This window comes from Homo sapiens, chromosome 12 (genome assembly GCF_000001405.40).
Source record: "Homo sapiens chromosome 12, GRCh38.p14 Primary Assembly".
Classification (NCBI taxonomy): domain Eukaryota; kingdom Metazoa; phylum Chordata; class Mammalia; order Primates; family Hominidae; genus Homo; species Homo sapiens.
Window position 1 is genome coordinate 106,861,112 of NC_000012.12, and position 24,584 is coordinate 106,885,695.

Genomic DNA, 24,584 nt, shown 5'->3' on the forward strand with positions numbered 1-24,584 from the left:
CCCATGTAAATTCTTAGTTTCCGCTTATTAGGAGTTATTTGAGCTATGTTTTTTCTGGGTTCCATTTGAAGATTTCCATCTGAAAATTGGAAAAGCATGCCCTTTCCTTGTGACATGGTGACATTGACATGCTGTGTTTTCTGCTTGGCATCTTCTGGAGTGTGATGTGGATCATGCAATAGGTGTTCGAGGATAGACTATCTTTATCTGCAAAATTAGATACTTTTAAAAAACATACATTGTGCCTTGTTGACATGCAAGTAATGGGTTGTCAGAAGGTGAAAGAAATGATCAGTTCCCAATTAGACAGGACATATATGGCCTGTTTCTTGGCAAATCAGGTCTGAGTAGGTAGTGTTACTTTTAGCATCCCCAATGCCATCAGCCTTAGTAGGATCTTATAGAGTGTGTCCTAGAAATAAAGACTTTTTGGGGGAAAGCTGGCAATGACTCTAAGCACTATTTTCTTAAGACTGCCACCATTTAGATATTATCAATTGGCTATCTCTGACAAGTATTTGAAGCTAAGATAGAGGAATCCTGCTTCTTTCTTTCCCGAATTATAGAAGTCATCATTCTAAATTAGTCTTACTAGCTTTTTTCATTCTATAAACTATATTTCCTTATCAGTTTAATATTGATATCTCTTGATTTGAGTCATTAAAATACACCACTTGAGAAATTTCATATTTCTAAATTAAAGTAGCAATTACATTAGGCATTTCTTACATCCCAGGGTGTGTGGACACATTCAACTATGATAGAAAACTCATGAGTACTCATACATGGTTGATATCTTTGTATCTCAATATGTATTGTTAGTTTTGTTTAGTAGATAACTTCTATAATGGTAATGGTCATATATGTAGCAAGCGCCAGAATGCTACTATAACAATAGGAAAATAGAATTATGTTACATTGTGGAAGTGATGTTAGATTTCAGGAAGTACCTTCTGTTGAAATCAACAGCCATGATTAGTATTGTTACTGTCTTGGCTCTCTGTCATGGAAAGTTTCTGTACTTAAGCCTTACATCCCTAATTATAATATTCAGCCTTTGGACTTTGCTTATAATATTCATAGGAATGGTATGTTTTTGTAGTCAGAATAGTCATCATTGTGAAATTTTGTTGTATTTCTTAAACACTGCTCATTATAAGTATAAATGTGTGTTTTTCAAGTAGCATCACATCTTCCCCCTTCGGATAGATTTGCATCTGTTTTTCTCTTAAATTTTCCTTTTTTAAAGTGAAAAAGTGTGGTGAGATATTTAATGTTACTTTAAAATATTTGTGCAAATGATCTCTATGGAAGTGGTGGTAAATAAAGTACTCTGCAAGCAGGAGTACCCTTTGTACTCTGTGGAGCGATCCATAGAGCTCAAAGAACTTGTTTCCTAAAAACAGTTGTAAAAAATTTTTTACCAATCAAGCTTATAAAGTCAGCATCTGAAAGGATTGCTTACTCCCCTACACCTGAATACCATTCACCAGTCAGAGTTCCCAAGATCTCAGTCTGCTTTTCTTGTGATGCATTTATTCACAACAGTTGCTACTATTGGCAGAAGCAGAGAACTTACTCTTCATCCAGTTGGCTCTAGTCCCATTGTCAAAACTTTAAGTGGATTCTGATTAATGCACCAAGGTAACCTGTAATCCTTTACTGGAATCTGAAACCAAGAATTGTATGGAGCTTACATTCAGGCTATGGGAGACAGTTAATATCACAACAAAGCTTTTTGTGTCAAAATAAATGTATTTAATGGACTGGAAATGGCTTTCTGCAATTAGCACACTTAGAGAAAATATACTCATAGAATTGAGTTACATGCCACATAAATTTTTGGTGTATGTCTAGCCAGGTTTGTTGAAAGTTTTCAGATAAACTTTAGTCCTGTGTCAAAGGGAAACCAAATTTCTAAATTCTAACCTTTATACCTGTTTCTTTAATGCCTCTGAGAATGGAGGTCCCTTGACTGTAAAGGTGATATAACTGGCTGGTATGGTTTATACATTATTCTAGACATCAACTGAAAGATGTGTGTCTAATGACATTTGGCTCCTTTTAGATGAGTGGCTTTCACAGGGTGCATAGGCATCTAGAGGCCCAAAGAGGTATCTTTAAAAGGCTGCTTTGTGGAGGGATAGGAGGAACAGATGGTCAAAAGTGAGCAGAACCCTAGGGAGCCTCCTTGCACACTTAACACACCACACCAGTTCATAATCAGATCGAAAAGCTTAAAACCATTGTACTAATAAACTCAGGGGTGTTTCCTTCTTGACCATATTTTTCTCAGCTGTAGCTATGCCACCAGCTGTATAAACAGTTTCTTCAGCACAAGGCAAGATACTTTTTCTTTTATTTGTCAAGATTTTGCTATGCTGCTTCAGTCAAGTCTTTTTATAGTTGTCTCATTATATTGGGCTTTATAAATTTATTTATTTTTAATATTAAATATTTATTGAAGTAAGTGACCCAGAAACCAGGACATGAAGATTTTTCTCTTTGCCCAATTTGGGCTGTGATGATGTATTTATGTAAAATAGCATTTCTGGGAACTAGAACCTGTTACTGTAAGCAGTCATAAAACGTATCTAAATTCAGAGTTCTAAAAGACCAGAGGTAAAAGAGGCCAGTATATTAGCTTAACTACAGTACTGAGTTTTGCTCCAGTGTTTATTTGCTATGGATTCACAATCGTCAGTTTTCTATATCCTTTATGTCAAGGTTATTACTCTTAATCAAACGGCCTGACATGGGAAACATTTAAAAAGCACTATAATTTAAAAAGGCATTTTGAGGTCTTTTTTGTTTTATTGCCTAGATGCAATTTGGTATTCCTGTATGTATATATATTCAGTATGTATAAATTTATGTGGCTAATACATGGTAGATACATAGTAAATATCAGATAAGTAAATGAAAGAATGACACCATATTACACTGGTTCTTTCTATTGCAAATGTAATGTGAAAACCTGAATTAGGTTGTGCTTTCATAATTTACCCTATTTCTTTTATGGAGAATCAGTGTATCATTTATATGGTAATTCTTAAATTACTTGAGACATTTTCAGAAACTGGTATCTCTTCAAAATATATCTGAATTTAAAGCACACGCCACAAAACCACCTATTTGTTGCATGGTTTTTTTAGTTAATGAAGATTACACATGCATCTCCATAGTAAGGATTTGACTGAATAGAGTAACTTACCTCCTGGATCATCTGAGGCCTTCTGTGTTGCCTATTTCTCCACAAGTGGCTCCCTAACGCTAGTAATAATAGCTGGTATTTATTGAGTGCTTAATATGTGCCAGGCACTTTTCTAAGAACTAGACAAATATTATATAATCTTCACAACAATCCTTTGAGGTATAATTAATCTCATTTTATAGATGAGAAAACTAAAGGCAATGAATCGAGTAATTTGTCCAGGGCAAACAGTTCGTTAAGTGGTCAGGCAGCCTGACTCTAGAGCTTGCGGTTTTTGGGAATTTTATTGTTGTTTTTTGAGGTAGGCAAAGCAAGTTTTATTGTGCTCTTCATTCTGCCTTTTTACTTTGGGGATAAAATATGTAACATCAAATTTGCCATTTTAATCAGCTTTAAGTGAACAAATTTGTAGCATTAAGTACATTTACACTGTTATGCAACCATCACCACTATCTCTCTTCAGAACTTTTTCCTTGTCCCCAATGAAACTCTGTACACATTCCCCTCCTTCTAGCTCCTGGTAAGCACCATTTTACTTTCTGTCTCTATGGAATCTAAGAATCTCTATAAATGGAATCATATACAATATTTCTCCTTTTGTTATTGGCTAGTGTCACTTAGAATAATGTCTTTAAGATTCGTTCATGTTGTGGCACATGTCAAAGTTTCAGCTGAATAATATTCCATGTGTGTATATACATTACATATACACCTTTTGGTTGTTGTGAATAATGCTGGTGAACATGTGTCTACCGATATCTGTCAAGTCCCTGCTTTCTGCTCTCTTGCGTATATACCCAGAAGTGTTGTATCACATGGTAGGTAGTTCTTGTGTTTAATTTTGTTGCCAGCCTGCCATATTTTACATAGCAGCTGCACCATTTTATATTCCCACCAGCAGTGTACAAGGGTTCCCTTTTCTCCACATCCTCACAACACTTATTATTTTCTGGGGTTGCTTGTCTTTGGGATTTTTAGTAATAGCCATCCTAATGGGTGTGAAGTCAGAGCTTATTTTAACTTCTACTATATTCTGTTTCAAAGCCAATCAAAGAGAGAAATAAGTTTGCCCTTCAGATAGCTTCCCTGTTCTCAGAGCATCTATTATTTTTCTTTGATATAACCAAAACAGAAAACAAAAGAAAGAAAATGTATCTGTGTATACCCCGATATTCCTGAAAACAGAAAAATCCATTTGATTCATTCTAAATTGGTAAATATTCACATACATCTGTCAGGTAGTTCTGGTCCTATCTTCATAATACATTCTGAATCTAATTACCCTTTTTATTTGTCATCGCTGCTACCACTCTGGTCCAAGCTAAAATCTCTCTCTCCAGGATCATTCTCAAAGCCTTCTCACTGGTCTTGTTGCTTCTACCTTTGTTCCTCTTCATTTTGTTCTCAAAACAGCTGTTAGTGGGATCCTTTTAATATGTAAATCAGACTAGTCAACTGTTCAGACGTCCTCGCAGTGGTATACTTGCACCCTTTCTTGCTATACTATTGCCACACTGACCTCTTTACTATGTGTCAGGCACTGCAGACACACTCCTGCCTGAGGCCTTTCTGTTGACTGCTGTTCCTTCTGCCTGGAATGCCTGTCCTCCAGATAGCTGTCATATCGCTCTCATTCCCTCACCACCTTCAAGTCTTTACTCAGGTATCACCTGTTCTGTGCCCTTGTTAACAGTTGCTGCACTCCTGCCTTTACCACTCCATATCATACTTCTTACATTGCTCTTTTTTTCTCACAGTGCTATTCACCTTCTGACATTCCATATAACTTACTTATTAAGTCTGTTTTCTCCTCCAAAAAGTAAGCTCCAAGAGGGAAGAGGAGTTTTTGTTTTTTTGTTTTTTGGTCTGTTTTTGTTCATGTAGATGTCCCCAGAATAGTGCCCAGCACACAGTAGGCAGTCAGTAAATTTTTGTTGAATGAATGAATTTTTTGAGTTAGTCAGCCCCTCCTCAGCATTAGGATACCAAGAAAATTGAGTTCCCTTTCCTCGTCAAGCTTCTACATCTAGTTGAGGAATGGGAGCCAGGGAATAGAATTCAAGAAAATTCAGATATGGTAAATTTCCATTTTGTTCTTTATATTGTTTTTTGGGGGAGCAGTGTATTCTGGGTTTTTCCCCCTGGAAAGTTGTTTTAGTTTCATTCACATATAACATCTCCTTTCCCACCCGCCTGTCCCCTTCTTTCCTGGTCTTGGCTTACAAAATGCCCTTTCCTAAAAACCCTGATCCCTTTCGTAGGGGTTGCAAATTGTCTAGATTTAGCCCACAAGTATGTTTTGTTTGGCTTGCTCCATGTCCTATTGGTTATTTGGTTTGTGGTTTTGCTTGTTTTACACAGTGTTCTTAAAATAATTTAATTACTTAGCAACATTTAGAATTCAGATATTTTAGATGAAAATCTTGATTTCTAACTTCTTTTGAAAAAATGGAAGTTCTGTTAACATATCCCATAGATATTTAGATGAAAATCTTGATTTCTAACTTCTTTTGAAAAACTGGAAGTTCTGGTTACATAGGGCCTGCATTCTACGTGACAACCAGTTGATGGAATTGAGTAGCTGTGGTTTCCTTCCTACGAGGTATAAGCTCCTTTGGTTTGACAGATTATCCTATTCACTTATGTTACCTGTCCAACTCCTGTAGGTTGACTTTAGAGTTCCTTTTTTAACCACAATGCTTTGAATGAATTTAAGCCACACATTGTAGATTGAAGTTAATTTTCATATAGCCGAATTAAGTTTTAATGGATCTTTTTTGTTAAATGACCTAGTACTGTTGATGTTGGCCAAAGGTAGCAAAAATTTGAAGAAAGAGCAAAAGACTTGAAATACAGTTCAGGTTTTATACCTGTGTTCATTTGTCCATACCTTTTTAGTGTGTCTTAATCCTTTTGTCTCCAGGCCCATAGCTGTTGTCAGTTCATATAATAGTCTTATACAAAATTTATGATGAAATACCACAGATAAGAATTTAGACACTTCTTGTCACCTAATTGGAAGTCACAAGATTGGAGTGCTACAAAATGGGACAGAGGAGCAGAGACAAGGTGGAGGAGATCATGATAAATATAATTACCCAATAAAATGTCCACCACAATTAGTGTTCTTAAAGCATCTTAAGACTCCAAGTTTTGGAATGAAATAAAACTAACTCCAGAATTTCATAGCGTTAAGATTGAAACCTGGACTGTGGCGTCTCAGACTGTACTATTTGAGGTTGAAAGGTGTCAGGTATTTGTTCCACCAAAAGTAATCTATTTTATGAAATCTCACGTCTTTGTTGTCACAATGGCTATTATTTGTTTTCTCTTCCTTTCTGGGTAGGGAAACTACATGAGACTCTGGTTTGAAGTGGGGAGCGGGAGAAGAGACAGTGTTCATCTGCCTTCTGCCACAGCACACTGGCATTTTTCCCATAAGAGAGTGCTACGCTATACTTCAGTGCCCTAACTTGTGTTTTCTGTGGCTTTTGTTTACATTCTTCCGAATATCCAGGGGAAAAATGTCTTTTTAAAGGAAAAAATGAAACCCAAATCCCTAGACTGACTTTGGAGGGTTGGAATGTTTTACTCTATGGCAAAAAATGAGTTCTTACTCTGTAAGAATGAATTTCTGCCTTCTGCTTTTATACTCAGATAGCAAGAATTGTGTTACTTTAGTAGCTAATTTCAGAGCAAACCATTATATCATTTTAGCAGCCAGGGGACTTGAGGTTACCTTATGTAAAACAGACTTAATTTCCACCAAGCTCTTAAGAGAACCAAGAAAACCATCAAACTGTGTCCTAATCTGGGAATTCATATAGTGACTTTGTATGCTGTGGTGCCCACAATAAGCCCACAGCTTACCAGTGTGTCCTCCTGATTTCATTTTTTTCCCTGAAGCATGTGATCATGTGTGCAAATGTCATTATATCCTAAAAGTGCCTACAGGCCTGATTTTTCAAATTACAGCTCCATTGAATTTGAGGAGAGAAGCCATCTCTCAAGAGGCAAATAAGCATGATCTACATAGTTAATACATCTACCTTCCCTTATACTTTCTTCTAAGGCCTGATTTTCTTTGCTTGGGAAGTGGTATGTATCTATAATAAGCACCTTTATTCATTTATAAGACTAGTTGTTTTTCTAATTTAACAGGTGGCAGAAGAGAAACCAGTGAAAAGAGATGTCTTGTTATATGCCTGAGCAAATAATGGATGGGTGGTGGAATTGTATTTTCAGTGTGGCATCTGGATACGTCTCCATAGTTCTCAGAAGCCTTGTCTGGGTCTTCTTTGTTCTTGACTTTTAGGAAATACGATGACCCATTCAGCATTTTTGTTGATGGCCTCTAACTGGAGGCCTTTTTCTCTTCTTTTAGGAGCACCTGATAAAAGAGGAAATAGCACACAATGAGTGTCTAAAGCAGGCACTCTAGACACACACACACACACACACACACACACACACACACACACACACACACAGATTTATTAGTTGGTCTAAGGTGAGGCCCAAGCTTTTTTTTTTTTTTTTTTTTTTTTGAGACGGAGTCTCGCTCTGTCACCCAAGCTTTTTTCAAAGTTTCTCAAGTGATTCTAATGTACAGCCAAGGCTAGAAATAAATGACAAGGCTATGGGTTTTCAGGTTGCCCCAGAACCTTTGAAAGTACCTTAAGAGAAAACAAGTGGGTAGGGGACAAATAAAGGGACTCTACGCCCCTATCTACTTGGCTATTCCCATCCCCTTCTTGCCTGAGCAGTTCACTTTTGTCTATTTTATATATTGGGTTTCTAATGGGGGAAAAGTTTTAAACATGACTCTAGATGTAGGTCTTACGCAAGAATGGCAAGATAGGTTTTGAATCAGGTTTTCGAGGATGGTGAGCACTGAGTCCTTCCATAAGAATTGGTATGTCATGCAGCCTCTGAGGAAGGTAGAAAAGAAAAGTAAATCTAATAGTAATAGATAACAGTACGTAGTAAGCAAGCCTTTACCCCAGATGAGAAAAGCCCTAGTCAGTAAAGAACTTGCCCAACCGAAAGTCTCAAAGACGGGTTGCAAGCTGGCTACCAGAAGATTTAATTAATCACTGTGTCTTTGTCTTGGCCAGTATCTTTTTTTTTTTTTAATTTAAACTGGGCACCGTTTTCCAGTTGATCTCAATCTCCCAACACTCCACATTGTGTATATTTGACCCTCTCACTCACTTGCTTATCTTAAAGGCGTGGCTTCTGAAAGCGTTTATGTTCATAGACCCTAGAAAGCAATTTATTAGCAATTGCTATTTGCAGGGATATTTAATTTGATCATTAAAAACAAACTATCTGCTAGGCGCCATGGCTTATGGCTCTAATCCCAGCACTTCAGGAGCTGAGGCAGGAGGAACACTTGAGCTCAGGAGTTTGAGACCAGCCAGGCCAACATGGTGAAACCCCGTCTCTACTAAAAATACAAAAATTAGCCAGGCGTGGTGACACGTGCCTGTAATCCCAGCCACCCTGGAGGTTGAGGCAGGAGAATCACTTGAACCCAGGAAGCAGAGGTTGCAGTGAGCCGAGATTGTGCGACTGCACTCCAACGTGGGTGACAGAGCGAGACTCCGTCAAAACAAACAAACAAAAACAAAAAAACAGTATGTACTTGGCTGGTACAAGATACTGTGATCTCTTGTCTGCTTCTCCAGAAAAATGTTTGTTGTGGATATTTAGGAGCCATTGAAAGAGTTATCTTTTATTTCCTGTCCTCAAAAAAAAAAAAAAAAGTATGGCTTTTCTCTAAGAGAATAGTTTGTTTGGTATTATAACCTCATACAAAGTTTATGCAAAGTATTCATTTTAAGTACTGTATTAAATCTATTTCCAGATAGCCAGGATGATATACCTGTCTCTTGGTAGGCTAGATTTCATCCCTTTTTTTGTCTAGGCCAGATCAAACCTAATTAAAATTGTTCTTCTGCTTTATCTTTTATTATTTAAACACTCATTGCCCTCTGTGGTCTCACTAATGGACTAATTTCCTGAGATTATAAATTGGCATGCTTTCATTTCCAGATTGTAGCCTCTCTGTCATCATTTTTCCAATTTTTTTTGATGTTTGTTTTATGCTGTATCACAAAATGGATTTCCTCATTTCTTCTTCCCTGAAATCATGTGTCCCCTTAGAATTAATGGATAAGCTGTGCATCCACGGATATCCTAACGGCACTAATCAAATTTTGTATTTTTAAAAAGCAACCATGCCTCTAAAAAAAAAAAAAGTTGGCAAGACAGTTTTCGTTTTTTAAAAAAAGTATAGCCCATTTCCCAAAGCAAATTAGTGGAAAAGTCCAGTTTTAAAAATTCCTATATCAGTTCTATACCATAAAATTGAAATTATTGCCAATTTTTTGGCTATTATACTCTTTCTTATTATCACTTAAAAGTTGGACCAGAAAAGTATAGAAAGAGCATAATTTTAAAACATACAGCATAACTTTTTTTTCTTTTTGTAGCATTAATCTTATCACTGGTCATTTAGAGGAACCAATGCCAAACCCCATAGATGAAATGACAGAAGAACAAAAAGAATATGAAGCCATGAAACTTGTCAACATGCTTGATAAACTTTCCAGGTATTGTATTCCCATCCATTTTTTGCTTGGTTTCTAAAAATGGTCTATTTCTTTGTCTCTCTCACTGAGAGTTACCATAGAACAGCAACTCTGGAAATCCATGTTGATTGGAATAGGGTGGCCCAGGCAGCAGTAGTTCAGATAGCTCTTGGCTACCATGGTTTTTCTACATGTGCCGCTTCTGGATGTGCATTCCTAAACATTTAAACTCTCAAAGCTAAGATAGTAACTACCAGAGCACTGTAATAATTAACCAACTAACCTCCCTGTCTTCAAAAAGATGCTGTGAGTTAGATTCAGTGATTTTGCTGCTGCTTGTATTTTTGTTTTAGCCTGTTTTAGTTTTTGTTTCAAATCATGATGCTTTTATTTTTTCATTTTTGATGTGTAAGTTTGCAATTACGCCTTTTTGGGTTGCTGCTGAAACCAAGAATTCTAAAATGTCATGCACCCAATAAGAAAAAGTGAAAAGAAATAGCTCACATGAAGGATTTTCTGAAAACAGGGACTTGTATTAATTAGGAGTTCTAAAAAAAAAAAAAAAAAAAAAAAAAAACCAAAAAACTCCCCTTCCCCTCTTGCTTCTCACCTCCTTCCCCTTCAAAAATAACCAGTTTTGAAATAATTAAATCAAGTATATACTAATCAGCAACTAGTCATCTTGGAGGAGTTATTAGAAAATAATTCCTTTCATACTTGGCTGAGTCACTCTATTTTCTAGTCATACATTGAGTCACTATCTTCTTTAAGCCATCTTGAATGAATGCTTCTGTGTGTTGGTGGCAGCTGCCACTTAAAGATGCATTTCTTCTGGCCATCCCCTTTTTCACAGTAACTGTGTAAAGGCTAGTATCCCTCAGTCAAAAGAAGGAGCCATTGGAATGGAAAAGCCAGAGAGCCAACCATGAAAGGGAAAGGTGGAACACAGAAACGAGCAGAGATTAAGGGCACAGCAGAGGCTTAGGGGTAGAAATGGACAAGAACAAGAGACTGACATGGGGAGTGTGACAAGTATGGATATTTATCCACGCTGCAGAGTATGATGCTGGTAGTGTGGTAGAAGTTGTTTAGGAGTAAATAGCTTAATTATCTACAAAGCTAATAAGACTAGAACTCAGTAACTTCCAGCTAGCCCTTTTAAATTTTCATCCTTTCTCAAGGTTAGAATTTACAGCTAACTGACTATATTCACAATCTTCAAAAGACATTGTTGCCTCTTTGCAAATTACATTCTCCATACCTTTGTATAGAACAGAAATGTTCCCTCCCAGAAGGGATTAATAGTCACAGAGAAGATACCGATAGGGCAAACCTATAGGAGGCAGAATAAGATCAAAATGAATATATAAAGATAAGATGTGTGCTTGGCCACTTCCAGGAGGAGCTGATGTAGCTAATGAAACACAGGGGTATAAAAACAACAGGATAAGAACCAACAGAGTCAGGCCGGGCACAGTGGCTTATGCCTGTAATCCCAGCACATTGGGAGGCTGAGGCAGGTGGATCACCTGAGGTCGGGAGTTTGAGACCAGCCTGACCAACATGGAGAAACCCTGTCTCTACTGAAAATACAAATTTAGCCGGGTGTGGTGGCACATGCCTGTAATCCCAGCTACTCAGGAGGCTGAGGCAGGAGAATCGCTTGAACCTGGGAGGCGGAGGTTGCGGTGAACCAAGGTCGCACCATTGCACTCCAGCCTGGTCAAACAAGAGCAAAACTCTGTCTCAAAAAAAAAAAAAAAAACAAACCCGACAGAGTCCATCTGGTAGAAACTGGAGAGGAAAGGTTAGCAAGGACCTGAGTAGAACACATTAGTGTGTTAGGACAGTAAACCAGTTGCATAAATTTCATATTCTGACCAACAACATGAGTTTTTAAAGTTTAACACAAATGCCATTTAACTGGGCCATCTACCCTGGATGAGTAAACTCCAGGTAGGGAAATGGAAGACAGGGGAAATAACTGCCTAAGACTACACAGTATAATCCAGATACTTGGCTTACTAATAGAGGAACTACCATTTCATAAGGCATCTCTATCACAGGCACAGAAAACAAAGGTGCTAGGTCCTTCTCCTTTTAATCTCAGGGGAATCCACATATTCTAGAAGCTGCCAACAAATAAATATACAAACGTCAAGTCTGAAATACCCCAGCTTCCACCTGATTTAAACTATGCCTCAAAGAAGATGCCTACTTATCCGGAAGTACCCAGCAGATGCCCAACTGAAGGTGACACTGATTTTTGCATGTTTAAAGCAGAGCAAATATGTCTTATGTTGGCTTTGATGGTATCAATTTTGCCATTAAAGTTGAAGCAAAAGGCAACCTTGAGAATAGTTCAAATCATACAGAATTTTTGCATGACGTGTGTTGGGCGTTTTACATTGTCTGCCTTTGTGTGCTTTCTAACATTTGCTCTCACTAAATACAATCAATGACAAAACTGTATAAAGATCAGCAGTGGGCATTCCAAAGCAGTAATGCAAAGAATGAAGTCATTCTTTATGCGTCTTACATGTCTTTTGTGCTGTGTTCCTCATTAGTCTTAAGTTTCTTCTCTCTTTCCACTTTTTTTTGAGGTAAAAAAAGATGCCATAAAGCCAAAATAGACTAAACTCAGTACAATTCAGGGAACATTTACTAAGCAGCTACTCTGTGCAAGGCATCGTGCTAGGAACCTGAGGAAGATTCAGAGGAGAATGTGACAGTCTCTGCCTTTGGAAAACTCACATTCTAGTGGAAGAAATGACTGTAATCTAGTCTAGAATACAAGGTAGAAGGAAATAATGACAAAATGAGTTCTATGTTGAAATGTAAGCATGCAGGAAAAGGAGTAGTTCATTCTGTCTGGATGATTCAGGGACTGTTTCACAGGAAAGCTAGCATTTGTGCTGATCCTAGAATTTTGATGTATTTAATAGAAAAATGGAAAAATGACCATTCATTCCAGGTGGAGAGAAATTTAATCTTGTTAATAAGTCTTGGATAGTCACATACTACTTATTTCTTCTAAAGAGCTCAGGTTGTTTTATCATTATTTGATTAGTACGTTATCAGATTTATCATTGGGGGAAGCAAGTACCAAAGAATTGCCCAAAGCATTTCCAAGCTAATGACTGATGATAATTCATTTCCTTTTAACAGTTTATAAAACACTTTCACATACATCCTCTTTCTAGTTTCATTTTAAAAAGTGAGACTAGACCTTCATTTTCCAGAACTCAAGACGTTTGCTCTGTCCACTGTACTACGGTGTCTGTCTGTTATAGTAAGTGTTTGCCAGAACACTTCCTCATCACCCTGTCAGCATTGTACTATTGGTTAGTTCCCTCCCTTTCACTCTAGGACGTTCTGCATTCAACCAAGTCGTTATTGTGCTAAGAGTGTACCATAGCTTTGTCTGATTAACTTTCCTTCTCAAAAATGAAATGGTTTTCTCCTGCACCTGAATTGAAAGGCATGTGAGTAAAGGATAGGGTTGGAGGTGATGTGGCCAATGAATGGACACTAGACACTTCCTTTTTTCCATCCATAGGAGAGCAGATGTGAAGGACCTGCACCAGGATGGTGGTTAGCAACAGTGGCCCGTGCCAAAGCACTTACCAAAGTGATGATGACTAAGGTTGGTCATGCCAAGTACTGTTACTGAGCCTGGTGTAGGGTATAGATGTTATTCACTACCAAAATTGTAAAACCACCAATGTAAAAGTTAAAATTACATTTCTATTTTGCCTCCATGCTGGACATAGCCGCTGCCTCAAGGAGCTCATCACCTTAGCAGCTTTCTCTCAACTAGATTTCCAAAGATATTGGAGAGATTAGTGCTCAGATATTTTCTTCCCATTGAATACCAGCTGACTTAAGAGTATTCCAAGTGATTTTTTTTTTTTAGTATAAGGATTATATTTGTGATAGATGTAGATAAGGTGATTGGCAGTGCACCTGGAGGTCTAAAGAGTTGGAAAAGAATCTGAACCCTATAAATCCCATCATGTCTAGCTAGTACAGTGCCTTGTACCCTGTGGTTTCCACAGTATGTGATGATGAAATAATGAAAATAGCTGATCCCCAAATTTGAAGGGCAGTTTTTTGCTTTAAAATACCTACATGGCTTAAGACTTTAAAGTACACTCTGTCAGTTCCATTTTTTGGCCAGATGTCATAAAATTCAGGGCCAGAAAGGAATTCCATAAAGTACTTTGAGCCATGACTGGCTTATTTAAATATTGGGGTCCATAATTCCTTTAATATAGAATGATAACTGTAATATTTATCAAATATAAACATTTAAGGCCTGAGGCATGAAATTATAGAAAGCCTCATTTGACATTTTTTAATGTGAGGGCAGAGATGGAAAAGCGGATGAAATTTGCCTGCCTCTTCACCTCCTCTTTCCTTCCCTGACTTCGGAAAAAATAAGCCCCTGCAACTCAAGCAGGAGATCTGAATGGGAATTGTGTAGTAAAAGCAAGCCCACTGTGCCTAATACAATTTCATTTGCCTTAGCTATTGCACACAACTTGTATATAATAGTGGTGCCTCCTCTAGAAAAGGGGAGAGAGCATTGACTGGCTTAAGCTTAAACTAACCAAGGGAAATAATATTTCAAGTTACAGTTTTGTTTTGACTTCTCTAATCCCCTTTAGTTTCTACATTGGAACCAGAGCTAATTAATCCTCTACTCACCCTTACCCCATCACTGTCTAACAAGATACATTGCCTTTTTACTTATATATTCTGCCATCAAAATCTATGTTTTAAAATTTATATTTATATAAATTAAAGATAATTGTTCTACCATTTCTTCCTTTTCTTACTCCTTAGCCAATAAGTGTTTTGTTTTTTTTGTTGTTGCCAGTCATTGTGTACTATTTGGAACATGACTTTTATAATAAATGCAGGCACCAGATATAGGATTAGTTCCCTTTAATCAAAAGATTAATTTTAAACTGACTAAGGCTGAGATAGGTAGTTTATAACTGAAAAATAACAAATACATAGTTTTTTCTTAAAAATAAGTTATTTTACTCTCCTTACAAAAATATCAACGACTGTGATTATACCTACCTTTGTGATAAGTTAGTTAAGGAAATGCTTTTCAGGTACATTTCATAAACATGATCTAATTTTTAGAGCATTGTAAGATCTATTATAGATATGAAAATATAAAGATCTTGTTTTCATCAGAATATTCTTTAGACTACCCTGTCCAGAGTATGGTAACCACAGCTATATATGACTGTTGAGCACTTGAAATGTGGTTAGTCCAAATTGGGATGTCCTATCAGTGTAAAATACTCACTAGATTTCAGAGACTTGGCACAAAAAAAGTAAAATATCTCATTATTTGTTTAATATAGGTTACATATGGAAATGATAATATTTTTGATACACTGGGTTAAAATATTAAAATTAATTTTACCTATTCTTTTTCAATGTGGCTACTAGAACATTTAAGAGTACATACACTTGGCTTACATTGTGGCTTACATTATATTTTTATTAGACAGTGCTGTTCTACCTCATTAAAATATACTGTAAGGTTGCTTGGAAATTGAATTAAGAGGACTTGGATCCAGCTAAATTAAACACCTTAAGGTGTCAGGGGAGGATTAACTTGAGAAGCTTGATATTATCTATCCTTAGGTTATATAGGACCTTTCCAGTAGCTAGACACCTTTAAGTAGGACGTCATGCTACCTTTGTATTGCCTATCTGTAGTCATTGTTCTTTAGATCTGTAGTGGGACTAACTACTTTGAGCTCTTGGTTAAAGTACTCTCTGAAATGGTTTTTGACTAGTAGAGGAACATCAAATAAGAATCATCTCCACTGGCTGTTTGTTCTCTTAGTTCTCCTCATTCTTTAACTTTTAATCCTTCCTTATTGGGAAGAGCGTTAAGAACTTCTGTTTCTACTACTTTATTCTACAGTGTCAGTTGGCATGCTGACCTATTAATATTTATTTTGTTAATTTGGACAACAGATAAGAAAAATTCTGTAAATAAATTACCAAGAAATAATTTTTAAAACCACTTAAAGATAAAACTGCACTTTATTCTTCTAGTACTATACCTGATCTCTTTTTCTCTATATTTTCTTAACCATGCTGTTTACTGTGGGTAAATTAGGTGGGTAGCAGATTTTTAGAAGCTTTGCATGTGATCTAACAGAAATGTGAACAGTGATTTAAAAAAAACTAATATTTATATAGTGCTTTAAGGTATAAAAAATGCTTCCATATACGTTATCTCCATTGATTATTAAAACAGCCCTGTGAATTAAATAGCGTCAGGTATTTTTTTAAGGATTAAATGCACCAAAGATTAAGTAACTAACCCAAGTCCAGTTTTCAGTCTTGAGACTCCAGATTGTGTGCTATTGTGAGAAATTACCAACAGCTCTCAAAAGTTGTCTGATTATTTTTAAATAAGACATTCTAAATTTTAAATAAATGAAAAGCACGAAAGACAGATAATAAGCATATTTACTTTAGAAGAGAACTAAGATTTAGAGGACATGCATTACTGCTTTTTCATTCCACAGTTGAGCTCTTCGTAGGTATCAGGTCAAATACTAAATAAATAGCTTATATTTTAAAACACAAAACAAAGCAAAGCTTTTTGAAGGGAACAAGTAAAATTTCTATGATTCTATGTTAATACAAGGTTTTTAAATTGTTTTAAAAAGAGAATGATTATGGCTCTTCTGACAAATTTTCATACATGTGATCACATTAATAAAACCTAACTTAAAAAAGGCTTCCCTATGGGACTATTTACCAAAGTTGCTCAACCCGCAGCCCAGGACGCTTTTGAATGCGGCCCAACACAAGTTAATAAACTTTCTTGAAACATTATGAGATGTTTTTGCAATTTTTTTTAAGCTCACCAGCCATCATTAGTGTTAAGTGTATTTTATGTGACGCAAGACAATTCTTCTTCCAGTGTGGCCCAGGAAAGCCAAACAATTGGACATCCCTGGTTTAGACAATTCCCAATTACCTTTATAAAGTGGAAAGACATGGTGATGTGGGGACTGTACACCATATCAATTTGTCTTGGGTAACAATATTTTTATGTTGCATATTTTACTTTCCCAATTGTACCCAATCCCAAAGCACAATGATGAGGGCTGAGGGAAGGATCTCAGAATCCTTTCAAAGATGTAGCCTAGACCTCAAATTTGCTATGGAAAAGCTACCATACCACTCATTCCTACCAAGTTAGTGGCTTAATGAAAGATCGGTGTAACCAGTCAGCTCTAGGAAGTCATTAGATGAAAGATGAAGGATCAGGGTTCAAGCCTAAAGGACACTTTCACAGTATCTAACTGAACATGTTTACCAGTCCAAAGGTTATAATATTATTGCTGTGAGAAAAAAAGAGGTGAAAACATTTATAAGAATATCACAAGTTATTGGGAAACCCGTTATACTTCAGTGGATTATGAACTATCCATGATACTGAAATCTTGATATAAGATGCACGCCCAGACTTTAAAAGAACTACAGAGCTTCCTTCTCAGGGCTATCACAGGCTCCATCCATTTTAACAGGCATTTTTTGAAAAGCTCTATGTTAATTAAAATGCTTTATTTATATACTAATTTCTCATCCCATCTTTCAAATGTGAAAAGGAATTAAATATGAAATGGCTAATTTAAACTGTCAGGATTCTTTTTTCCAAGTCAACCTTACATTAAGAGCAGGAATCCTGTGCTTAAGAAATGGTTCCCAATTATCCTGTCTTGGGTTTTGTTATACATTGTACAGAAGTCAACAAAACAAGTATGTAACAGAACCTGCCTAAATAGCAGCCGCCCTCATTAAAAACAGAGAATTAATCAGGGGGTGATTGAAGGAAGCAATGCCTCATGTTCCCCCCCCCTTTTCTTCTTTTCTAATCATAGAACAAAATATGTTACATAAAAGGATCGGAACTATTATGCAGTACTCAATTAGAGGGAGGTGAATAGGTCTCTAACATGCTGTTTTATCAAAAGAGCAGACTGGTGTTTGCATGACTGTTGTTTCATTACAGACCCTGTCATTAATTCCATGTGTCAATACTGCCCTGTAGTACACAGAGCAGACAAGAAAGAAGAGCCCTTGAAAACAAGGGAATGATTTTTGAGTCGTTATCAAGCTAAGTGGCAAGCGGGAAGCTGAAACTCGTATAGGTAAATTCGAAGGGACTCTTGGGAGATCTGCAAGTGGGAAACAAGAATGCATTTTACCAACTGCTTAATTATGTCCTGTTTTTCAACAAGTACACTTGAATTGAATGTTTTGTTTGTATTGCACAAAAACATGTGCTGTGGGCAAGAGTATTCTCTTGCTTTCAGGTCAAGTAAAGTGTTTTATACACATACACGTCTGACCTATTCTATATTGTGCGATTGGGTATGTTAGTATCTGAACCCCAATTTTGCACTGTCATTTTTGGGGGAAAGAGTCATATAGGAACCAGAAGCCCTAAAAAGCAGAACCTTCTCTAAGGTGCTGAGAAGTCATATAAGCCCAGGCATCCTAGAGTATACCATACTTACAGGCAAACGGTGGCTCAGGAAAATGTTAAAATATATCTGGAAAAAAAAAACAGACCAGAATATTTTAAATATGGTGTAAATTCCGTATCTCCCATCCCTAGCTCTTTAAGAAATTATTTTTTTGGTTTCCATTAGCAGTCCCAAGGGTTAGGCTGGGGCAAAATAGGGTTTCCTTTCTTGGACGTGCTTTATCTGTGTCCTCTTGCCTGGCCAAGCCCTTGTAGATTATGGTTCCTTATCGTTTAGTAAGATCAAATTTCTAAATGATGTTTCGTTCCAGTTGAACATTCTTGGAGGCTTATCTCTTCCCTGGCCAGATGCCTGATCAGATGAGAAGCCCGCCATGATACTGTCACAGTGCCTAGAATGGGCTCTTTATCCAGTAGACACCACTGTACTTTTTGATACGAGGGCAGTCTTAACTTGTGTTAAGGCCTGTGTGTAGCATTGAAGGTAAGTATGAAGGAGTTGTTGCTATGTGAATATCTTAATCCTGATACACATTTCAATATACAGTATCTCCGTTTTACCATGATATACATGTATCTGACACATAGCCATCCTTTTTAGATAGGACCTTCATAATTTAGGATCAGTAACTCTTTATGAAATGGCCTGTTTATTGAGGGCCATGATTGAATTTGGATCCTTTTTTGTAGCACTTGCCATTGCTTTGGTTTTCCTTTGTAATCATTTTAATCATATGCTGGTAGTCTTGCAGAAAGGGCTTGTGGTCTTGGTGTATGTCTGTGACAATTTGGTAGGATGCTGTGTTTGACTCTTAGGTTTAGAATATCTGCATTAGAAACAAAGGCTTAGTAATAATGAGTTTGAGTATCTTTAAAAACCTAGCAGCTTTTTAAATAGATCAAAATTATTTCATAGCCCAACACTTAGCCTCTTGAAATTAGTATAGAATATTGGGGATCATCTTGTCCAACCACTCACTTTATAGATGGGGAGACTCAAGCCCAGAGAGGCAAGTGACCTGCCCAAGGACACCTAGCAAGTTAGTGGAACATCTGAGACTAGAATCTAGGTCTTCTGATGCCCCATATGGAAGAAGCTCAGTCTATACCAGTTAGTTAATGGTTGGGAATTCCAGGCTGTCTGGTGAAAAGGGGGCTTGACTTCTGCTGAACTGTCAGAATGTCTGATGATATTAATTCATCAGGAAAATAATTACAGTTAAAATAACATGAGAATGATTCCTGACAAATGGTCTCCCATTTATGCCACGTTTACTGAGCACCTGCTGTGTGCTGTGTTCTATACTAGATACTGGCAAATCACAGCCTGAGAAGACATGGACTCTGCCCTCAAGTTGCTCACAGTCTAGTACAGAACAAGAAATCTCTGGAAAGCATTATACAGAATTTCCTGTGGAATGTTAATCCTGTTTCTAACCCTGTAAATCTTCGTGATGAAAGTGAATGTGTACCCAGAGATTTAGCTTTTCTCTTCATGGTTTAGTCATTAGGAGTCCCATTAGACACCATACCTTTTCTCTTCAGGAAAATGAAAGATAATATCAAGTACAACTAAATTTAATTCACAAACACTTATTGAGGATCTGCTATCTGCAAGGCACTGTGCTAGACACATAGGGATATGAAAATTGAGTAAAGCATAGACATTCTCTTTTTAAAATATCAGAGCAGTAGTATTTCATAGCTCTCAAACTTTGTAATGACAGTTATTTTTAATATCCTTAGAAGTTGGGGGTGGGGGGTATGCTCCTGAAATAGAAAACAAGAATACCTTTGTACTCAAGTCCAGACTTGTCAGCCTAGGATTCAAGGTCTCCATTCAAATCCTCTTTTATACCGCATCTCTTTTGAGTTGTTTTTTTTTTTTTCCTTTATCTCAGCCGAGCCAGCCTGCTTGCCAGTCCCTGCACACAACTAACTCTTGCTTCTGTGCCTCTGCTTGACTAATTCTTCTGCTTCTGGGATGCCTTTCTCCCTGTGAATCCATGTCCATCACTGCCATTACAGTCTGGCCCCTGAGTCCACCTACTGCAAGGAGCCTGTGGTCAGCATCCCTGTCTCCTCCTGTGTCCCTCTCACATGTGCATAGCCATACGACTGGTGAAGGAATATTTCTGTGGTGTTCATTAAAGCTTCCCATTCTCTGTCCACATCTTGCTGATCTAGATACAACAGATTGCAAATGAAATAGTCCCAGATTATAAATGAGACAGTCCAATATAACCAGGTCATTTACCAAGCCTTTTAGGAGTGAGTCTCTGTACCAAATATTTCATTTTGATATTTGTGGGCCACTAGTTGAAGGATAGAGGAAGAAGATGAGAAAAGTTAGGATGGGGGTATGAGAAATAAGCCTGGGGTCAATTAGAACAAACAGTCACACATCTGTAAATGATCCTCTCCTTCTACTCCCAGACAGGACAAGAAATCTCCTTTAAACCAACTTCAAATACAGTAAGGGTGTATTGACAAATTTTAAAGCTTAAAGAAAGCAGGGCTCTCTGCCTGTTAATCATCTCAAGCTTGTTGATCTGCTGTTCTGTAACTCTTTCAATATTGTTTAATGTGTGTGTGTTTTCTGAACTGACTAAAAGCTTCTTGAGGACAGGGACCATGTCTTTTATTTGCCTCTGCATATTCTTCCCCCACTTAATCCCTAACTAGCATGGGAAAACCTTCTGTAAGCACTTAAGGGACAGGAACGACAATTTGTGGGTTCTAACTACATTCCAGCCTAATGTTATACTATACACTTTGTATGTATAGTAGCCTTTTGCCCTCATCACAACTTAGTGTGAGGTATGTGTTCCTGTCCTAATTCTACAGAGAAGGAAATTGGAATTCAGTGAGTTCATGTTCTTACAGCTAGTGACTGGTCGATCCAGAATTAGAGCACAGGTCCGTCTGACTCCAAAACCTATATGTGCTTTTCACTATACCACAATAACAACGAATATTTGTTCTGTACAATTCACAACTCTTTGGTCTACCTTATTATTATTATTATTATTACTACCACTACTTACATCTTCACTAGTCAGTAGGTACAGCCAAGATTATCACGACCCCCATTTCACTGGTAGGGAAACTGAGACTCGGAAGCTTGCCCAAGATCACACAGCTGGTAAGTGGAGGAGAACCAGGACTTCAGACAGACTTCCTGACTCCAGATCTTTTTTTTCTTTCCATGACATCACATTGCTGCCTTAATTCATTTGCACAATGCATGATTGTATGGCCAGTGTTCACTGACACCTTTCCTACAGAAGTATCAATGAGCCCAGGCATTACGTAGAGCCATGTGGAGAAGAAAATAATTCATACCTTCAGAGGAGCTTCCATTTTAGTGGGGGTTGATACAAAGCACCCAGAAAGTAAATGCTTGAGAATAGTTCACAAGTAAGAATTAAAATATAGGCCCGTTGTTCCATAATGAAATCCTATAATTTGGCCATAAAACTAATATTTTTAATTATTTGCATAATTGGATTAGGGAGCAAGGGTAAAGCTGATAGACTTATTTGAAAATATTACTTCTGGGTTTAGATGAGAAAGTGCTAGATACTTCACACAAGTTAGTAGCTAGCCCCAGAATCATCTTTTTATCAAAGAGATGCAGTAGTTTTAGTCTCAGGAGTGATGGTATATCCACCCAGCAGTTTATCACTCAGTCCCATCTGCCAATCCTACTTTTACCTATCCCTACCCTTCAGTCCCCACCCCACACCTGAGTTTACCAACCCCTTCAGACCCTCAGTGTTTCATTCCCAGCAGGTTCTCCCTCTTCTCCTTTTGCTTCAGTTGTTAATATGTAGTGTCCAACATCACAAAGTCCTTTAGCACAATCAGAACTAGGAATTTATTTAAAATATAGGTATGTAATTTACGTCAGTGCTAGAGAGAAGTTTTAATGGAAACGTTGTTTCTAGCTCTCCACTGAACATTTCTACATGGTTGTCATGTAGGCACCTCAAGCCCTTCAAGTCCTAAAATATATCAGAATCTCCCCACCAAATCTCCATCTCCTATGTCCTGGCCCCATTGAATAGAGTCACCATCCACTTGGTCATCTGAGCTGAAACAACAGGAACTCTCTACTTACTACTCTCATTCTCCAACCCCTTTTCCTCCCAGTGAGTCATGAGATCTACCTCAGAAATGTTGCCTTTTCTTCCCACAACCTCAGACTTAATCCAGCTGTCTGTCTCCTCCCCCACACACTATTATGATGACCCCCCTAATGACTTGTCTATCTGCCACCAATTCCAATGTGTCTATCATGCTGCTGCCAGAGGTACTTTCTTATAAAACAAACGTAATCAAACACTCTTTATAGGGTAAAATCTAAACTCCTTATTTTGGCATTTAAGACATTTTTGACTATTGCATCCCAAACTACCCTTGCAGCCTTACCTCCTGCCCCTCCTTCATTGAACCTCACCATTCCCCAAACACTGGGCCCTTTCCCGGCTTCATGAGAGCACAGAGATAGAAAAGATGAGCTGACACAATCCAAAAAGGTTTAAAAAGATAGAGAATCACACACGTCAGTGGGACCATTCAGAGCTCTTTACAGTCTCTTTTATCTGAAATGCTCTGTGCCCATCTGCCTAGTGCAGGGCCACTCACTGACACCTCACTTGACAGTGCCCTCCCCAGGCAGCCTGGTCAGTGCTTCATCTCAGGAGCTGCCTCACTTCTTTGTTCATAATTCTCTTACAGCATTTACCTCATTCTGCTCAAAATGACTTTTGCATATATTTGTTTTCCGTGCTCCTCAAAGGCAGCAGCTGTACCCAGTCTTCCTTACCTCCCAGTATATGACATAGTTCCTGTCACATAGTCATTGAACAGATGTTGAAGACATGAACTCAGTGTGCTCCTCCAATGCAGTTAGGGCAATTAATCCAGATGTGGTGGGCTGCAAAGATCACTGGACTAGGATTCAGGAGACCCATGTCCCAGGTCCAGCTCTGCCACTAGATAAGTGACCTTGGATGAGTCATTCAGTCTCCTTTATTAAAGAAGGGGGTTGGACTAAATGATCTCTCAGACCCCTTCCAACTTTAAGTTCTATGATTCTGACCCCATTTCTTGGATTGGGAAACACATTTCCTCCCTCATAGTATTCAGGAGCCTCAATTTAGCCTGTCAGACGTTCACATTTCCCAAGCAAAGCTTTCAAACACTTCGAAGTTGTCTACTGAGCTAGCCAGAGCTCTTCATTAGGCTCCTGTTGGCTTATCCATTGACCACTGAGCTGTTCTCACTCCTCCCCAGGAGATTTCACTGTGTCTGTAACACCATTACACTACTGTGTGGCTGCCCCTTCCCAGGAGGGAGCCCTTCTTTCTGTTGGCCTAAGGGACAACTGTGAGGAGGGAGTCATTTCCCCTCCATCCAAATCCCACCAACATTATAGCTGCTGCCATGTGGGTTTTTGCTTATGGACATGTTTTTGGGGGGTGATGCCCATTTCTGTGATAAATAAGTTTTAAGCAGTTCATGGGGCTCTTCAAGGCCACTCTTAAGTACACTGCTGACCTTTCTAGGGATGGGAGGACTGGAGTTAGCAACTCAACAGGTACATTCACCATAATCTCCATGTAATAAATAAGAGCCTATGAAAAGATTAAATAAATCTTTCCTAATGCTTTTTGACTGGCTTAATCAATAATTAATCATCTTTAGATGAGGCTGTAACTTGTGGAGTAGATATAATTGGATTAGCTGAAAAGCGGCAGTTGCGGAGCTTTGAAGAGATTAAAATGGCTGTCAATCCCATAATTAAACTGCCACAAACAAAAGCAATGGTGTTTTTTAGAAAGGAGGAGGAGGAGGAAAGAAAGAGTGAAAGAGAGAGAGAGAAGGAAAGAAAAGTCGGGGAGAGAGTTGGGGAAGGCCAACTAATTTGAAATGAATCAACATGTACTTACATATCACTAGAGACTGAGGCAAAATCAAAACCGACAGATTTATTCCATTGAATGAAGTGTATGCATATCAAATCAGCCATTTAATTGTATGCTCCAACCACTGGGGCAGGTGAAATTTTGGCAGCTTCAACTTGTCTAAAACAAAACCAATCCACCAAAAAAAAAAAAAAAGGTTAATTATTCAAAACAGAAGAGACCTGCTCCTTGTCCTGAGCCCATTTAGACCTTGACTTTTCATACTTTTAATTGGCTTAGTAGGTTTGGCCTGTGTGAAT

At 37.8% G+C, this 24,584-nt stretch overlaps 1 protein-coding gene and 1 long non-coding RNA gene across 26 annotated transcripts in view, besides 1 other annotated feature; one reads left to right on the forward strand and one right to left on the reverse strand.

Annotated features, from left to right (window-relative positions):
• RIC8B (RIC8 guanine nucleotide exchange factor B) overlaps positions 1-24,584 on the forward strand; it is a 114,635-nt gene that overhangs the window by 86,430 nt on the left and 3,621 nt on the right. For 5 of the 25 annotated variants that reach the window (NR_147136.2, NM_001351361.2, NM_001330145.2 and 2 more), the window contains one exon: positions 9,712-9,831. The exons of 5 other annotated variants lie outside the window; for them this stretch is intronic. Coding sequence is in view for 6 of the 20 variants with exons in the window: in NM_001351361.2 (NP_001338290.1) it covers positions 9,712-9,831 (120 nt within the window). In the remaining 14 variants the exon portion in view is untranslated. Of the gene's footprint in view, positions 1-7,189; positions 7,313-9,711; positions 9,832-11,920; positions 12,064-13,369; positions 13,457-17,875; positions 18,015-18,663; positions 18,837-19,661; positions 24,334-24,584 lie in introns of those variants that run through there. 15 more of the 25 variants (XR_007063100.1, XR_007063101.1, NR_147138.2 and 12 more) reach the window with 12 other exon arrangements.
• Positions 7,897-20,228, reverse strand: LOC105369961 (uncharacterized). Its single transcript, XR_001749306.2, has 3 exons — positions 20,145-20,228; positions 18,384-18,419; positions 7,897-8,145 (listed from the first exon to the last, which is right to left on the reverse strand). It is a non-coding gene; the product is annotated as an uncharacterized LOC105369961 (long non-coding RNA).
• Positions 15,310-15,859: an enhancer, noted in NCBI's record as "NANOG hESC enhancer chr12:107270199-107270748 (GRCh37/hg19 assembly coordinates)". NCBI's record gives its function as "activates a minimal SCP1, AML or CMV promoter by ChIP-STARR-seq in naive H9 embryonic stem cells {active_cell/tissue: H9 hESC(naive)}" and the evidence as "EXISTENCE:reporter gene assay evidence [ECO:0000049][PMID:30033119]".